General features: G+C 48.7%; 1 long non-coding RNA gene and 1 pseudogene across 2 annotated transcripts in view, besides 2 other annotated features; one reads left to right on the forward strand and one right to left on the reverse strand.

The window, feature by feature from the left end:
• Positions 67 to 7213, forward strand: LOC646665 (golgin A6 family member A pseudogene; annotated as a pseudogene).
• Positions 3370 to 18418, reverse strand: part of LINC02259 (long intergenic non-protein coding RNA 2259) — a 28475-nt gene continuing 13426 nt past the window's right edge. The window contains exons 3-4 of one of the 2 annotated variants that reach the window (NR_135684.1): positions 11019 to 11136; positions 3370 to 3642 (exon numbers count right to left, since the gene is read on the reverse strand). This is a non-coding gene — a long non-coding RNA (long intergenic non-protein coding RNA 2259). The remainder of the gene's footprint in view (positions 3643 to 11018; positions 11137 to 18418) is intronic. The other variant, NR_135685.1, reaches the window with a different exon arrangement.
• Positions 4687 to 5187: an enhancer, noted in NCBI's record as "H3K27ac hESC enhancer chr15:72902139-72902639 (GRCh37/hg19 assembly coordinates)". NCBI's record gives its function as "activates a minimal SCP1, AML or CMV promoter by ChIP-STARR-seq in naive H9 embryonic stem cells {active_cell/tissue: H9 hESC(naive)}" and the evidence as "EXISTENCE:reporter gene assay evidence [ECO:0000049][PMID:30033119]".
• Positions 10730 to 10869: an enhancer, noted in NCBI's record as "active region_9725". NCBI's record gives its function as "activates an Ori minimal core promoter by ATAC-STARR-seq in GM12878 lymphoblastoid cells {active_cell/tissue: GM12878}" and the evidence as "EXISTENCE:reporter gene assay evidence [ECO:0000049][PMID:35858748]".

The raw sequence follows: 18418 nt of genomic DNA on the forward strand, positions 1-18418 counted from the left end.
CCTCTGACTCAGTTGCACAGCTACCTGGCAGGTGACCGGAGGTGTTTAGCAGTCTTGCCTGGATTGCGCTGATGTGGCCCCAACCCCGCCTCCCTCCCCACACCACCATGTAGGAAGAAACTCAACAGAGCAAATTGGCTGCAGCCAAGAAAAAGGTAAAAACCACCAGGTCATAGCCCCTGACCCACCTGCAGACTTCCTCTGACGGCAGGACTACTGCCAGAGTCTGTGCCACTCCTGAGGCACACCGGGTTAGGCCCCCCTGGTGCCTCTGCACTCCCCCTACCAAAATATTGTTAGCCAGCGCTGTTCCCTCAGCAGCCCAGCCCCTGCCCTCAACAGTCACCCCAGGGTGACTACTGGGGCAGGTGACTCCTGGGGCTCCCTGCTCCAGACTAGGCCCTGACCTCCTGCCCCCTCCCAAGCCTGACCTCCCTGGGCTCTTTGGCCTGGCATCTCCAAGGACTAAGACAACCACTTCTGGTGGTTGCCACTCACCTGGGGATGTGAGTTTTGGCTGGCCAGGCTCCTGGGGACAGGGGGCCCAAGGGGCAGTAGAGGGTAATTGTTAAGATTGCTGGGTACTGGTTAAAAATTCTGGGTTTGAATCCTGCCTCTCTGTCTGCTGGGGATATGATTTAGGGCAAGTTACTTGAGCTCTTTGGGCCTCTCTTTTCATATCTGTATAATAGAGGTGGTATTGTTTGACTTCCATTTGTGAAGTTTAAATGAAATTTGTTGTTGTTTTTATGTGAATCCCTAGTACATAGCCTGCTGTAAACACACAGGACACCCAGGAAATGGTCATTGCTGTTTGATTTTCCTCGCCCCAGTCTCAAGGGGAAGCCAGGCCAATGAGAAAAGCCACTTGCCATCAGCCTATCCCTTTAGAAGTCACTGAAAGGGCCCCACGTGTGGTGTAAGAGAAGATCTTACTTGCCACCAGCTTGCTGGGTGACCACAGAAAAATCACTATTTCCCCTGAGCCTCAGTTTTCTCCTCTATAACATGATACTGGATAAGATCAGTGTCTTTCAAACTTGTTTTTCACCTGGAGTCACCTTAGCTCAACTGAACCCTTACTCAGAAGTCTGGTTTTTTTTTTAACAGAAGTGGAGGTCTGGAGCTCTACCACATTCATCGCCCATGTCCTGGGCCTGAGGAGAGGGGTCCAGTGAGCGTATTGAGAGGTGCATTGGTCAGCTGACTCCACTCTGTGACTGCGTCACTCAGGGGACTTTTCCATCTATTTGTTCCTGCCCCTGGCAAGGCAGCAGGTGGCCATTTGGAAGAATGGCACAGGCCATGGTTTTAATCTCCTCTGCTCTTCTTCAGCGTTTCCTTTCCCTGAATCCACATCTTTCTCCTACCCTGACTTTCTTGCTTCTCTCTAAGCCACTTCTGTCTTTCTCCCCCTGCCCTTGTTTTTCCCTTTTCATCTCCTGTAGATTCAGGACATTCCGAAGGTGCTGGTGTCCAACCTTAACTACTCCAATGGGGTAGCACTCCTCGACTGGACAAGTGGAAGGTGAGGCAGTGCCCAGACCCCTCTCTGGCTTGCTGTCTCCAGCTATGCATGTTCCTGAGGCTTCTCTGGTTTGGGGGATACTTTGCCTCTGGCTTATTTTATGTTGCTGCCATTAACCTTCAGCCTGTTTATGTCTGCTTCTTCACTTGCTTGATTGATTGAGTTTTTTTCCTTTCCAGCATCTTTTATCATCTTGGAAATGGTGAGACATACCTTAAAGTTTAAAAGTAATTTGGGAATAATGTACAAAGCAGGAATATGGGATTTGGGGCTTTTTTTTTTTTTTTGAGACAGAGTCTCACTCTGTCACCCAGACTGGAGTGCAGTGGTGTGGCACAATCTCTGCTCACTGCAACCTCTGCCTCCCAGGTTCAAGCGATTCTCTTGCCTTAGCCTCCTCAGTAGCTGGCATTACAGACACCTGCCACCATGCCCAGCTAATCTTTGTATTTTTAGTAGAGACGAGGTTTCACCATGTTGGACAGACTGGTCTTGAACTCCTTACCTCAAGTGATCCACCAGCCTCAGCCTCCCAAAGTGCTGGAGTTACATGCGCAAGCCACCGTGCCCAGTCCCTTGCTGTTTTTATACTTTCTCTATATCCATAACTGTTTCCCATGGAAGTTTTTGTTTCTTTGAATTTCTCATTTTTATTACCCCTGCATCATCTGCTACCCTAAAGGATCTGGAGGTAAGAGGCCCTAGGCTGAGGTGCAGTGACCCTGCAGGCCAGCCCTCCAACCTCCTCTCACAGTGGGGGCTGGGTGCCCCTCTGCCAGCTGAGACAGCCCACACACACCCCAGCCCTAATGATTGTTCTCTCTACCTCTCCCTGCAGTCCTCCTCCAACTCCTCCTCTCTGTATGCACCTCAGAGCCGGTACCAAGAACTAGCAGTAGCCCTGGACTTGAGCTCTGCAACAATCAGTCAACTCATTGAAAACATAGTCATTGGTAAGAGTCCAGTAGAGTCCCCTGATTCCACTCTGCCAATCCTGGGCTCCAGTTTCCCCTTGGGGCCCTGAATAAAGGGGCTGGGGGCCCCTGGTGCCAAGGACAAATGGAGAGCTGGGGTGCCCATGCCTCACCTAGAGGGACCCCAGAGCAAGGAGCATGCAGCATGGCTCTTCCATTGCTGCCCTCTTTGCTGACTCTCTCTTCTTCAGGTACCCCTGCTCCAGTCCTTGCCACACACGCCCTGGGGTTGTCACCTCTCAGGGAAGCGCTAGCCTGATTGGTTGTCAGGGGCCCCATATTTCTGCCCTGACTCAGTCTCTAATTTGCCCTTGAGTCTGGACAAGCCACCTCTCCTCCTTGGGCTTGTGTTTCCAGAGGAGGTAGAGAGTATCAAAGGTCTCTGTTAGCTCTGAGAGTCTGAGATTTAAAGTCCCCTAGAATGGAAACCTCAGGGCGAAGGCCTCCTGTCTGTCCTTTTCTGTCCTGTATCTCTGTTGTGAAGAACTGTACCTGGCCTGTGTGTGCTCAGTAAATGTTCATTGAATGAACGCACCTTTCTAAATCACAAGCTGGCAGAAGGGTGGGCCTTTCTCAGACTCCGTCTCTGGAGGTTTATGTTACTGTCCTTTTGAGAGAATCCAGATTCAGACTTTGAGTTCTGTGGCTGTGGGCAAAAACCAACAAAGACCCACATCCTGTGTCCTTGGGAGCTTGAGGAGAGTTGACCAGTTTGTGTTGCCATTGGGTCTGAGAACTTTGCCTTTAAAATCCATTCCTGGCCCCTGCCTACCGCTTCCTGGTCTGGGGAATAGAGCTGAGGGGGCCACCCTCAGTCACCTGAATTTGACTCTCCCCACAGAAACAGCAGAAGAAACAAGTGGAACATCAGCTGGAAGAAGTAACATGATTTCTTTCTTTGCTCACGACATAAATGCTGGGTTTGGGGGACAATCAGATGTAGAGGTGCCAGTCTCGTGTCGCCCACTTCCAGCCTGGGGAAGAAGGCTCACCCCTCAGATTCCACCCCATCCTCCCAGGTTATCCCGATAACCTGGTCCCATGGGTGGGCCTGTCCTGGGGCATTGGTGGCATTCTGGGGGCATGTCTCTTGCTGTGCCATCTCTGCCTCCCCCTGGTAAGAGCTCTGTCTTCCTCTTCCTGTAGGAAAAGAAAACCAACAATGAAATACACAAAGCACAAATGGAGCAGTTAGAGGTGAGTGGAGGGTGGGGAGTTTTCTCCTGTCCTCTGGAGAATGTTTCTTTCCTTCTCTTTCAGCACTTGCTTGGCTTTTCTCCCAAAGGTTCAATTCCAGACAATCAACATCCTCATGTTGGAAAAAGCAGACTTGAAGACCACCCTTTACCATACTAAACGTGCTGCCCGGCACTTTGAAGGTGGGAATCTGGGCACCCCATCATCCTTCAACCTGGCACTTTGACAGGTCTTTAGGGGGAGTCCTTTGGGCCCCATCTCAACCTCTTTCATTACAGCAGAATCTAAGGATCTGGCCAGCCACCTGCAATATTCCTTGCAGTGTATTGGAGAGTTGGAGTGGGCTCTCTGTGCTGTGTCTCCATGCAGCAGCAGGAGGAGGACAGGGTGAGTCCAACCAGCTGCCCCATCCCCTGGCAGCCTGGCTTCCCAGATAGAGGAGTGAGCCTAAAGGTCCCTTCTGCAGGATGGAGTGTCCTGCCCAGAAGGCAGCATGGTCATTTCTCGCTGCTTTTGTGTATGGTTGTTAGAGGCAGCCTGGGGCTGAGTCAGCTGCTGTGGGTGAGTTGGGGGGCACTGTGGGGAGCGAGCACTGGATGCAGAGCTCAGAGGCCACACAGCAGCTCCAGAACTGGATGGTGAAGATGAGAAGTTTATATCTGGGGAGCCCAGGCCATTCTACACAGTGCCCCTTAAAAGGGCAAGGGGTAGGCTCAATATACAACTCGGTCGGTAAAGATCAAGTCATTTCCAAGCCTGTGGTCTGGTTTTTAAAAGAACTGTTCCACACAGTCCTGAAACAGGAGAGGCTGCGGGAGCAGGAGGAGAGGCTGCGGGAGTAGGAGGAGAGACTGCTGGAGCAGGAGAGACTGCTGGAGCAGGAGGGGCTGCAGGAACAGGGGGAGAGGCTGAGAAAGCAGGAGGAGAGGCTGCTACAGAAGGAGAGGCTGCTGGAGCAGGAGGAGAGGCTGCAAAGGCAGGAGGAGAGGCTGAGGGAAGAGGAAGAGAGGCTGTGGGAGCAGGAGCAGAGGCTGAGGGAGCAGGAGGAGAGGCTGCTGGAACTGGAGCAGAAAGCCAAGCTCTGGGACGAGCAGGCAGAGACACACATGCAAACCATGCGGAATGACTGCACCACCATCAGCCACATGCTCTCGCAGAACCACGAGCTTGATAAGCAGCTGGGCGAGCCACAGTACGACTTCCAGGAGCTGGTGGGTTGCCCCACCTGGGGAGCCTGCCTTCCTCCCTAGCCCTCCAGGCCTTTGTTTCCCCACCTGTAAAATGGGCATATGTAGCCCTCACGTGAAATGGTACTTCTAAAGGAACCTGTGAGCCAGAGCCCTGCTCTGATGGCTGTGAGAGAGAGGGAATGATTTTTCTAACTTGCCTCCACCCTTCCCGGTGACATGGGAGGCAGACATCAAGTTCTGGGGTCTCCAGCTGCAGTGGGTGACCGCTGATTGCTTCTCTTTGTCCAGAACAAAGAGAGCAAGGGCGCACTGCAGTTGGAGCAGCAAGTAAAGTTGCTGCAGGAGAAGCTGGGTGACCTGAAGGAGACGGTAACCTCCGCCCCATCCAAGAAGGGCTGGGAGGCGGGCACCAGTCTCTGGAGAAGGGAAGTGTGAGGCCAAAGGCAGCTCCAGCCTGGAGGCAGGTGACGCCAGCACCCTTCAGGGCAGTCCTGTGACTGTTTCTTGCTTCCTGCCCTCTGACTTTTAGAGGTAGGTAGCCCTGGGCTCCTCCCAGGTCTGGACATCATCATCCCAGCTAGAGGCATGGAGCCCCCAATCATAGGGGAAGAGACAGTGGTATAAGAGGCTCCTTTGCTGGGGGCAGTAGCTCACGCCTATAATCCCAGCACTTTGGGAGGCTGAGGCAGTAGAATCACTTGAGGTCAGGAGTTTGAGACCAGCCTGGCCAACGTGGTGAAACCTCATCTCTACTAAAATTACAACAACAACAAAAAAAAATTAGCCAGGCATGGTGGCGCATGCCTGTAATCCCAGCTACTCAGGAGGCTGAGGCACGAGAATCGCTTGAGCCCACGTGGTGGAGGTTGCAGTGAGCTGAGATTGCACCACTGCACTCCAGCCTGGGCCACAGAGTGACACTGTCTCAAAACAAAACAATAAAGCCTCCTTAGATTCAAACTGGATTCTGGCCTGGGTTCCTCTGGTCACCGTTCAACTACTTTTCATCTCTAAGTCTCTGTTTCTTTAACTTCAAAAGGAAGTTAGCATTTTCCTTGCAGAGGTGCTGAGGATTGAATGAGAGAATACCTGGAAAGCATTAGGCATGTAGCACACTTAGCAGATGGTGGTTGGCTCCCTCTGCTTTTCCACCAGTCTGTGGCCTACAGTTTAAATGGTGGGAAGAAGGACATGAGATTTGAGGCTGAGGAAGGAGGCATGGAGTTCTAGGCAAGGGAGGAATTCTCTAAGGCCTGGAGCAAGCGGCCAGGGGCCTGGGCAGGTGACAGAGCCCCACGGTGCCCTCGCTACCCTATTAATGGGCCCAGAATCTGGAAGCCAGCCACCATGTGCCCTCACGCCCAGGGTCTTCCTGCAAGTGGAGCTGAAGAGCCAAGAGTCTCAGAGTCTGCAGCAGCAGCGAGACTAGTACCTGGGTCACCTGCAGCAGTACGTGGCCACCTGTCAGCAGCTGACCTCTGAGAAGGAGGCGCTGCACAGGCAGTTACTGCTGCAGACCCAGCTCGTGGACCAGCTGCAGCAGCAGGAAGCTTGGGGCAAACCGATGGCTGAGATGGCCCACCAAAAACTGCAGGAGACTCAGGGGAGGGAGTTGCTGAGGACGGGGCCCCAAGAGGGATGACCTGCATCTTCTGTGCCTTCTCACTCTCTTTCCTGGCCCCTTAGGAGTGCCTAGAAGCTGCCAGCCAGCAGAAACAGCAGCTAGAGGCCCAGTTGAGCCTCATGGCTCTCCCTGGAGAAAGTACAGGAGATCACTTAGAGGAAGAAGAGAGAGCCCCAGGAGGAAGGAGGGGGGATTGTTAGCAGCATAGGACTGAGGAGTTGGAACAGACCTTTAGAACAGCTAGTCATTATGCCGACCGGGTGTCTGCACTAAGTTTGGTATCAATATGGTGACCTCCTGGGGAGCAGGGGGCCACCAGGTTGCCTAAGGATGGGTGAACTGGCCCAGATCAGAAAGGGAGCAGGTCAGAACTCCCACACTGACTGGTAGTGGGACTGTGCCTGGGAAATATAACAAGATCTTGGTTCTTAAAAGTAAAAATAAAAGTAAAAAAATAGTAAAAAAAAAAAAAAAAAAAAAAAAAAGAACAGCAGCTCATTTCCCTCTGGGGAGGGGCTGGCTCAGGGTTACACAGTGAGGGTGGGGGCAGAGGTGGCCCCACAGTACCTCCCTTGTTGGGTTGTCTGAAGACCCCTTTGGCCAAACCCTACAGATGGAGGAGGACATCTGGACAGTGAGGAGGAGGAGGTGCCTTAGCCCCTTCCGAGCATCCTGGAGGACCTGGAGAGCCGGGAGGCCATGGTGAGCTGACTCCCCCTGCACCTCCTTTGCCACCTTCCTCTGTGGTCCCTCCCAGACCCCCTTATGCTCTTCATCTCCCCACCGTCTGATTTCTCTGGACCCTCACCCCTTCCGGGAGCCAGTGATCAGACACCATTTCACCTGTGACCAACAGGTGCACTCTCTGAGGCCCCAAGGGAAGGGGCTGCACTCCACCACCCTGCCCTGTTTGTTCTGTGTATGCCCCTACAAGAAGGGCATCAGGGTGGCCAGGCCATGCAGCCAGGCTCCAGACATCCCCAGGATCTCAGCCCCTCCAAGGGTACCTGGAACATTGAGGCACAGGGAGAAGCAACTGGCCAGAACACACATCCAGCTCCCCACATGCTCTAGAGGGTTTCAGGTCTCTGCCTCTCGGGACCTTGGGCTCCCCCGATTCAGCCTCGTCTTAGTTCTGACTCTAGTACCCATAATTTGCCTCCATTTCCCAATCCAGAAATTGGAAAGGAACATCTCCATGTCCCTTGCTTGAAGACCTGGCCAGAGCTGGTGCCAGGCTACAGATGCCTGGCAGGAGGCAAGAAGGGCACACTCACTTTCCCTTTGTCCTGGGAGGCCCACATACCAACATTGCCACCACTGCTGCCACCTGGAAGCACAACCAAACTAGACACAGGAAAAGGGGAAGGGTTGAGTGAACCTGGGACACTGCACCCCAACTTTAATGTGTTGTTGGATTCAATTTGCTAATATTTTGTGGAGGATTTTTGCATCAATATTCATCAGTGATATTGGCCTGTAGTTCTCTGTTTTGGATGTATCTTTGGTTTTAGTATCAAGGTAATACTAGCCTTGTAGAATGAGTTTGGAATAGTTTGGGTAAGGTCTCTAGTTTTGGAATAGTTTGAGTAAGGTTGATATGAGTTTTTCTTTAAACGTTTGGTAGAATTCAGCAGTGAAGCACCAGGTCCCAGGCTTTTCTTTGCTGGGAGACTTTTTATTACCATTTCGATCTCATTGTTTGTCACTCGTCTGTTCAGGTTTTGGATTTCATCATGGTTCAATCTTGATAGGCTGGATGTGTCTAGAAATTGATCCATTTTTAGTTGGTTTTCCTATTTCTTTGTATATAGTTGCTTATAATAGCCACTAGTGATCCTTTGAATTTTTGCAGTATCAGTTGTAATGTTTCCTTCTTCATCTTTGATTTTATTCACTTGGGTCTTCTCTTTTTCTTAGGCTAAAAGTTTGTCAATGTTGTTTATCTTTTCCAAAAACCAACTATTCTTTTCATTGATGCTTTGTTTTCTTCATTTCAATTTCATTTATTTCTGCTCTGATCTTTATTATTTCTTTTCTTCTAGTAATTTTGCATTTGCTTTGCTCTTGCTTTTCTATTTCTTTAAGGTGCATTGTTAAGTTGTTTATTTGATGCTTTTCAACTTTTTAAAAGTGGGTGTTTATAGCCATAAAGTTCCCTCTTAGTACTGCTTTTGTCGTATCCCATAGGTTCTGGCATGTTGTGTTTCCATTATCATTTAAGAAATGTTTCAATTTCCTTCTTAATTTCTTCATTGACCCACTCGTCATTCCAGAGCATATTATTTGATCTCCATGTGTTTGTATAGTTTCCAACATTTCTGTTGTTACTAATTTCTAGTTTTAGTCCATTGTGATCAGAGAAGATGTTTGATATTATTTCACTCTTTTGTAATGTTTTAAGACCTGTTGTTTGACCTAAGATATGGTGTATCCTTGAGAATGATCCATATGCTGAGGAAAAAAATATGTATTCTGTAGCCCAAGGGAGAAGACACCTGCCCCCACTCTGCTGCAACACACAGCGCTCTGCTCAGGGATGGGGCAGTGGAGTGCTGTTGTTACACAAGGGGCTCTCTGTCGGGGAGGGAACAGAAATCTGTTCTGTAGTGTTTGCCATTTTTGGTGGTGCAAATATTCCATGGCTGATTTCAAACTGCCACCGTCTTCTCAGCCTGGGCTTGTTTGTACCCACCCTTGGGAAGGCTATCCAAGTATTTGAAAGGATGTGGGTGTTGTGATCTAAAGTGTATCTTTATTAGATACACTCCAGCCCAGTTATGCTATGGTTCTTGCAGACTCATAGAGGAACTGCCTTGTTGGTCTCAGATAAGATCTGGAAGAATTCTCTGGGCTACCAGGTAGTAGAGACCCTTATTCTGTACCTGTAGTTTCTCTCCAAAAAACAGTCTCTCTCTCTCCCTCTCTCTCTCTCTCTCTCTCTGCTGAGCCACTTGGAGCTGGGTGTGGGCTGACACAACATCCCTATGGCCACCACCACCACTGGGACTGCACTGGGTCAGACCTAAAGCCAGCAAAGCACTGGGTCTCACTCAGGGCCCGCTGTCAACACTACCTGGCTGTCGCCTATGTTCACTCAAAGCCAAGTAACTGGGGCTCTACAGTCAGCAGGTGGCAAAGCCAGCCTGGCTTATGTCTTTCCCTTCAGGGCAACGAGTTCTCTCAGGCCCTGGTGGGTCCAGAGATGCTGTCTGGGAGTCAGGGACTACAGTCAAAAACCTTAGAAACTTACCTGGTGCTTTATTCTAAGGCGGCTGGGCTGACACTGAAACCATGAGACAAAGTCCTTCCCACTCTGCCTTTCCCTTTTCACAGGCAGAGGAGCCTCACCCTGTGGCCACCACCACAGGCCCACAGGGAGTGCTGCCAGGCTACTGTCGATGTTCACTTAGGGCCCAAGGGCTCTTAAGTCACTTGTGGTGAATGCTTCCAGGCCTGGGGCTCACCCTTCAGGGCAGTGGGCCCCCCTCTGTCTCAGGGCAGGCCCAGAAATGCTGTTTAAGAGCCAAGGCCTAAAATCAGTGACCACAAGAGCCCATTTAGTGCTCTACCCCATTGTGGCCAGGCAGGTACCTAAGCTGCAAGACAAAGTCCCTTTTACCTTTCCCTCTGCTTTTCTCAAGCAGAAGAAATCTCTCACCACAGCCACCAAAGCTGTGAATGTGCTGGGTCTCACCTGAAGCCAGCATGTCGCAGAGCCTTACTCCAGGCCTATAGCACATTACCTGGGTATCACTGTTGGCTATTCAGGGCCCAAGGGCTCTTGAGTCAGCAGGTGATGAATCCTGCCAGGACTAGAATCTTTTCTTTAAAGCAGCAGATTCCCTTCTGGCCCAGGGTGTATCTAGAAAGGTAATTCAGGAGCTAGGTCCTGGAATGGGGGTCTCTCAACTCTGACTGGGGCTGTATCCTACTGTGGCTATCCAAGACGTAAGACAAAGTCCTCTTTACTCTTCCCCCTCCTCTCCTCAAGCAAAAGGAAAGAGCCACTTTTGTTGCTGCAAGCTGCACTGCCTGGGGTTGGGGGAGGGGTGGTACAAACACTCCCTTGGCTGTCCTGGCTGGTGTCTCTCTAGGTCGTGTGCCTCTTGAGTCCACTGGCTCTGAGCCCAGCATGGCATTAGGATGTGCCTAGGAGTTGAAGTCCTTATGGACTAGACTGCTTTCAAGTTTATTTAGGACCCTGGGGCATAATAGCCTGCCATGCCAAGGCTTGTCAAAACCCAAGCCTCAAGCCTCCTAACTACTGGGATGGGTGAACCCCTCTGGGTAGGGCTGGTCTAAATGCTCCCTCCATGGGCAGGTGTCACGTGAGTTCCACCTGGTTTCGCTTTCTGCTGTGACAGGGCAGCACTGAGTTCAAGGCAGAGTCCCACAGTTGCTGCATTCTCCCTCCCCCAGGTGCACAGATTCTCAGCACCACAGCGACCACTGCTGGGGGAGGGGGAGGGGTGATATTGGTGTTTCAAGGCTGTCTCTCCTACCTTTTCAGTGCCTCTTTCAGCGACATGAAGTTAAACCCAGGTACTGTGAGTCCTCGCCTAATTTTTGGTTCTTATGATGATGGTTTTCTGGTGGAAACAGTTGTTAAATTTGATTTTCCTGCAGGGGGAATGATTGGTAGAGACTACTATTCAGCCATCTTGCTCTGCTCCTCCTCCCTCCCTTCACTTTAATTACCTCCTAATAGCCCTATTTTTAAATACAATCATATAGGGGGTTAGGGCTCCAAGTATGAATTTTGAGGAGACACAATTCAGTCTATAGCATTTGGACTTGGGAAGAGGGAGGAAAAGAACACGCACAGGAAAGTCACAGTGTAAGCAACAGTATGGAGGTGGGAAAGTTCAGCTCATGGATAGGAAAAATTGATCCAAGTTGGCAGGGCCCACAGGGAGATGTGGTGGGGTGGTGAGTGGCGGCCACATCAAAAGAACCTTGAATGCCAGGCTGAGGTGGGAGGCATTTCCTGTTGTGTGGAATGTGCCATGAGGTGGTGGGGAGGGTAACGTGATGAAAGGACATTTGGGAGGATGGATCTGGCATCAGTGATGGGTGGGGGTAAGGAGTGAACAAAGCTGGAGGCCAGGAAACCGGACACATGGCCCAGAGTTCAGGCATAGGCTGTTCAAAGGCAGTTTCCACACTGAGTTCCAATGTGGATCCAAGCATGCAGCGGATATATTTGGAAAAGCAAAAGCATTCCCTTCCCATTACCACACAGTTTCCCAGCTGAGTTCATCACCAGAGTCCTACACATCAGACAGTCAACCTGCCCCAAACTCTGTCCCTAGAAGCTGTGGCCCAGAGGGAGCCCTTGTCCAGCTGTAGCCCGGGGACGCTGCAGCCTGAGCAGGACTGCACCTGTTCCCTCCCAGGAGCCTCATCTCTGTCCGGCCTGGCTTTGGCTTCAGATGCCCTCAGCTTTGGCTTCGAAATCTGTTGGGTCAGATTCACGAGAGCTCTGGCCTTCTTTGGGTTGGGAATTTTAAATAGTTTTTTCAAGCAGGCAGTAGATCAACTCTACTTGCTTACTTCTGGGTGCATCTCCTGTTCCCCGGCCCCAGATCTTCTTTTTCCTTGGTTTATCCTCTCATTGTGTTGCAGCACATCTTCCAGTGGCTTCCAGAGAAACAGTGAATGGAAGCCAAGCTTTCTGACCCTCACATATTTTAGAATGTCATTGTTCTACCCCAATTCCTGATTACTAGTTTGGCTGGATGTAATGCTCTAATTTAAACATAACTTCTCTTCACATTGGGAAATATTGCTCTATTATTTTCTAGTTCCCAGTGTTGTTGGGAAGAAGTCAGTGTCATGCGGAGTCTTGGCTCTTTACATATGACCTGTCTTTTCTCTCTGGAAGATTTTAGGATTTTCTATCTTTGGGTTCTTGGAATTTCTCAGTGATGTACCTTGTTATAGGTCTTTCTACCTATACTGTGCTAGTCACTTGGTAGACTCTTGAACTAGAAAATTATGTGCTTCTGTGGGGGGAAGCCACCAGCATGTTTGGGTCCTGGTTTGGGTCCCAATGGGGCACATGTGGGAAAGACCATGAATGCCCATGTCTCCGACTAGTTTCCCCATCAGAAGTGTTGTTGCACCAATCATCCTCCTCCATTAAAACTGGACAGACTAAGGGCCACTTTCCTAATGGATGGGTCTTCTTGGTTCATCTCATGCTCCCAACAGAGCTCCCTCCCGGGGATGGGAACGCGCCATGCCAGGAGAGCCCTCTTGATCCAGCCTCCAGCCAAAGCCAGTCCCCCTGCCAAACAGGCCCTAGAGTTACACTGGAGGGTGACAGGCCTAACCTGGAAATTTCTTGCTGAAAATTGTCAGTTTCCCACACAAGTACAGCCTGGCAGTTAATTCAAATTCAAACCAGAAGACTGCTGCTTCAGTCTCGACTGCTTGAAAATTAGGTTGTGTAGAGCTTTCATTTGCTGGAAATTGTGCAGCCAGACATTGTGCAGATTGACCCAGTAGCTACAGCAAGTACACACATAGGGCGCCAAGCAAGGACAAGTGTGCACATGTGCGCACGCACACACACACACAGCAGAAAATCTAGAAATAAACTATTTTAATGTCAGCTGTCATGGAAGTTTTGTGTCATTTCCCCAAAAAAACACAAATTTTATTTTATGATTTAGTCTAGTATTTATTTAGAATTACTTAAGGAAAAGGAGACGTGAGTGCAGTGGCTCATATCTGTAATCCTAGCACTTTGGGAGGCTGAGGCAGGAGGATCACTTGAGCCTGGGAGTTCAAGACCAGCCTGGGCAACATGATGAAACGCCATCTCTATAAAAAATATGAAAATTAGCCAGATGTGGTAGCATGTGCCTGTGGTCCCAGCTACCCAGGAGACTGAGGTGGGAGGATCCCTTGGGCCCGGGAGGCGGAGGTTGCAGTGAGCCAAGATCACATCACTGCATTGCAGCCTGGGTGACAGAGTGAGATCCCATCTCAAAAACAAAGAGAAAGAAAGAAGAAGACAGAGAAAGAGAAGAGAAAAGAAAAAGAAGAGAGGAGAAAAGAAAGAAGAGAAAAGAGAGGAAAGAAGAGATAAGAGAGGAGAGAAAAGAGGGGAGGGGAGGGAAGGGGAGAGGGGAGGAGAGAAGGGGAAAGGAGCAATGGGATCCTGATATCTGGTATGGGAAAACTTAAGTGGATACATCTGAGAACTTTGAACCTCCAGTTTCCACTAAATGCTCTGATCTAAAAGAAGAAATGCTCTTTCCTTGCTAAGAGAAGGGCAGCTGCCCCTTGCCTGGAAACTAGGCAAAGAGCCTCCAACAAGGCCTTACAGCAGGATGAAGTGTGTCGTCATTGCTGCCCCACATTGACACCAGGCTATGGTCATTCCTCATCATGGCCTAAGGTCACAAGCACAATCTGCTCTGGGAGAATAATATTTTTGCCAAAAATGTCACAAAGTATGTACTGGCAGAATCTGAGAGAGGAGGTGGAGGAGTGGACATAAGGGTGTTGGACCAGGGGGAGACTAAAGGCTGTATACACGAGAATACAGTGACCTGGGAGCACTCTCAGGATTTAATGGCTTGGCAAAGACACCTGGGGCTCCAACACACTGCTGAGTGGCTCCTTGAAATGTGGACAGAACAGTTGCTTCAGTGAATTAGGAGGAGATTATAGAACTGCATTCGCAAAGCATCAAAGAAGCAGGAAAGTACAGGGAGGTAGGAATGTTGGAATGGTTCATTATATGCCAGCAGATTCGGAATCCACCACTTGACTGTGTGCCCTTGGAGGGCTCACAGGAACTCCCCTCTCTAGGCTAACAAGGAAGGCACTAGTGAGAAGGGCACCTGAATCTTTAAGAGACTCAGTGGCACTATCCTTGGTAGGCCAGGATCGACAAGAGGAGATGCTGCCATGAGACCAGGCTTCGTGGTGTCAGTGGGAACGGTGGAAGGTGAGAACAGCGGATGCCAGGTGGTGGCCCTTCACCATCATCCACAAGGTGGATGTAATTAACTTAATTGGTAGGAAGGCTAGAGTGACAGCCAGGATGCCTTGACCTCCAGGGAGCTGTTGTGTTAGCTACAAACTGATGGCATTCCAGGGGAGAGTTACATAGGCAGTTGATTAGGGTATTTTGGGTTTTTTTGAGACAGGATCTTACTCTGTAGCCCAGTCTGGAGTGCAGTGGCACAATCATAGCTCTCTGCAGCCTCAACCTCCTGGGCTCAAGCGATCCTCCCACCTCAGCCTCCCAGGTAGCTGGGATTACAGGCATGCACCACCATGCCTGGCTATATTTTTTTCTAATTTTTAGTGAAGATGAGGTCTTGCTATGTTGCCTAGACTGGTCTCAAACTCCTGAGCTCAAGCAATCCTCCTGCCTTGGACTCCCAAATTGTTGGGATTACAGGTGTGAGCCCTAGGATATTTCCTGATTTGTGTATTCAGGAAACAACAACAACAAGATCTGGCACATGGAAGGCTGCAACAAAAAATTACAATTTCCTAGCCAGTTTTCAGACTGAGACAATTGAGACCTATAGCTCATGGATTGTAGGGGAGGCTGGGTATTCTTGGAAAAAGATCCTGCAACATTACCACATGGTATTCATTAATTATTCTCCAAAGGGATCTGGGGTCATTGATGAAAGTAACTGTAGCTGATGAAAAGGGAATACCCAGACTGTTTGAGGGCCATTTATATAGGATTAGAGCTGACCCTGACACCATAAGATCCACAATGCCACCATGTCCCCTCCCCAACAAGACTGAGGACATGTGAAATCTAGGTAATAAATGGATCCCTGGATGAAGAGGCCACAGCCCCATCCGGTTGTCATTTCTCTGTCCCTAAATATGCAATTGATATGAGTATGCTTAGAAGCTAACAGAGCTCTCACTTTACTCCCTGACCTGTGGGTATGAGCCACTATAGTAGGAAGAGCCCAGGGGAAGTCTCTGAAACTACCTCTTCCCACTTCCGGGAGCAATGCAGTATTCCAGGTGGAATCACAGAGATTTATCACCTCCCTCAACTGTGACCGCCACCTTATAATGATGGTATTCTTACATTTCCCCACCTGTCCCTTGTGCCATTCTCATCATCATTTTACTTCCACACGTTATAAACCCCACAATGTTATTACTTTTGCCTCAGTCAATTATTTCTAGACATCAAAAAATGAGAAAATAGGATCTTTTCTATTTATCCATGTATTTATTATGTCAGTGGTCTTCATTCCTTTGTGTAGAACCAAATTTCTATCCAGTGTCATTTTTCTTCTGACCAAAGAACTGCTTTTAACACTTCACAGAGTGCAGGCCTGCTGGTGATTATCCTGGCTTTTGTCTGTGTGAAAAAGTCTTTATTTTGTCTTCATTAAATTTTTTAAAAATTTTTTATTCTGTTTTTTGTTTTTTGTTTTTTGTAGAGATGAGGCCTCACTGTGTTGCCCAGGCTGGTCTCAAACTCCTGGCCTCAGGCAATCCTCCTGCCTCTGCCTCTCAAAGTGCTGGGATGATTACAGGCATGAACTACCACACCTGGCCTCACTGACTTTTTAAAACTGCTTTTAATCCCTTATCTGCAGAGTTAACTTTTTCATGTCCAGTAATTCTTTTTTGTTTTATTTTGAGACAAGGTCTCACTGTGTTGCCAAGGCTGCAGTCCAGTGGCACAATCACAGCTCACTGCAACCTCGACCTCCTGTGTTCAGGTGATCCTCCTGCCTCAGCCTCGTGAGTAGCTGGGACTACAGGTTCATGCCACCATGCCTGGCTAATTTTTAAATTATTTATAGAGATATCTCTTCTTATGTTGCCCAGGCTGGTCTTAAACTCCTGGGCTCAAGCAATCCTTGTGTCTAAGCCTCCCAAAGCACTGGGATTACAGGTGTGAGCCACCACACCCAGCCTGTGTTTTTTTTTTTTTTAATACATCTTCCATTTCTCTCTTCTCATCATGTTCAGATTTTTCTAGCCTTCTTGAACATATGGAGCATATTTATAATATGTTTTTTAATGTCTTTATCTGCTAATTACATCATCTTTGTCATTTCTGGGCCTATTTCCATTGATTTATTTCTCTCCTGGTTATAGGCCCTATTTTGCCTGTGTTTTTCTTTTGTTTTGTTTGTTTGTTTGTTTGTTTGTTTTTGGAGACAGGGTCTTACTCTGTCACCCAGGCTGGAGTTCAGTGATGTGATCTCGCCTCACTGCAATCTCCATCTCCCAGGTTCAAGTGATTCTCGTGTCTCAGCCTCCCAAGTAGCTGGGACTACAGTTGCATACCACCACGCCTGGCTAATTTTTGTATTTTTAGTGGAGACAGCATTTAGCCATGTTGGCCAGGCTGGCCTTGAACTCCTGGCCTTAGGCAATCTGCACGCCTTGGCCTCCCAAAGTGTTGGGATTACAGGCATGAGCCACTGTGCCTGGCCATTGCCTGGTAATTTTTTATTGACTGTGTTTTTGTGTTGTGACTGCTGGATTTTGTTTTGCTTTAAATAGTGTGGGACTGTGTTCCAGCACTAGTTAAGTTATTTGAAATAAGTTGGATCTACAAAGGTTTGCTTTCAATCTTTGTTAGGACAGTTTCAGAGAAGTCTTTACTCCAGTGCTCATTTAGCCCCACTATTAAGGCAATAGTTTTTTAAAGCTTCTCTTCCATTTCCTAAGTATTATGAGGTATTTTCATTCTGACTAGTGAGAATATGAATTCTCTCTAGCCTGTTGTGAGCTCTGGGGATTCTTCTGTCTGCTTTCTGGCAGTTCTTTCCCTGGGTACTTTCTTCTCACATATGTCCCTATCAGCCCTTTGCCAAAGGCTTGAGGGCATCTTCCATAGCTCTCCAGAGTTCACGCGCTCTCTTCTCCCACCTCCTCCCTGGTACTCTACCTCACAAATTCTACCGGCCTTGAAGATCTTCCCAAGCTCTGATCTCTGTCTCCTCAATCCACCAAGACCACCGGACTTTGGATTCCCCTCCCTGTGTTGGAGCCTGTAATTGCTTCCGGCAGTAAACCGAGGACACTCTAGGGTTCACCTTCTTTTAGGGATCATAGTTCTGCTCGACCTGTTCTCCGATGTCTGAAAACTATTGTTTTATATTTTGTTCCATTTTTCTAGTTATTAAAGGTGGGAGGCAAATCTGGTCCCTGTTATCAGTCATGGCCACATGTAGAGGTTGCAGGATGTTGTTTACATCTGTATCTTTTTTTTTTTTTTTGAGACAGGATCTCACTCTGTCACCCCAAGTGGCACCATCTCGGCTCACTGCCACCTCCACTTTGTGGCCTCAAATGATCCTCCCACCTCAGCTTCCCAAAGTGCTGGGATTACAGGTGTGAGCCACTGTGCCTGGCCTGAAACTGTATCTTTCTTATTACCAGAGAAGTTAAACATTTTTTCCTGTGTGTCAGCAGCATTTGTGTTTCTTTTTCTTTGAATTTTCATTTTTCCAGTTTGAACTTTCCATTTTTCTTAGAATTTTTGGTCTTTGTCTTCTCTACTTTTAGAATAGAATGAATATGATATTAATCATACTTCGAATTGTGGCCATGATGGAGTACCTGTATTGATGATGGTCTCCCAGCATAAACAACTACAAAGCTGGACAAAGTACATGAAGAAATTGTCTTCAGCCATTGGGCAATAGGCAGTTCCAGGTACAATCTGAGAGAAGGGAATCACATGAAGTTACTGCTACATTTTTCTGGTGGGGAAAGTTTCAAAACCCTCAATGACAGCACGAGGAAGCAGAGTCCAGGCAAAGGATCAGTCTTGTTTGGTGGAGGAAACGGAGACTGCTGCTCAGGGCTGCTAAAATGTGTGTGGCAGGGTATCAGAAAGGATGGAGTTGCAGAGAAGGAGCCCCAGAAATCTTATAGA

This window comes from Homo sapiens, chromosome 15, assembly GCF_000001405.40.
Source record: "Homo sapiens chromosome 15, GRCh38.p14 Primary Assembly".
NCBI lineage: Eukaryota > Metazoa > Chordata > Mammalia > Primates > Hominidae > Homo > Homo sapiens.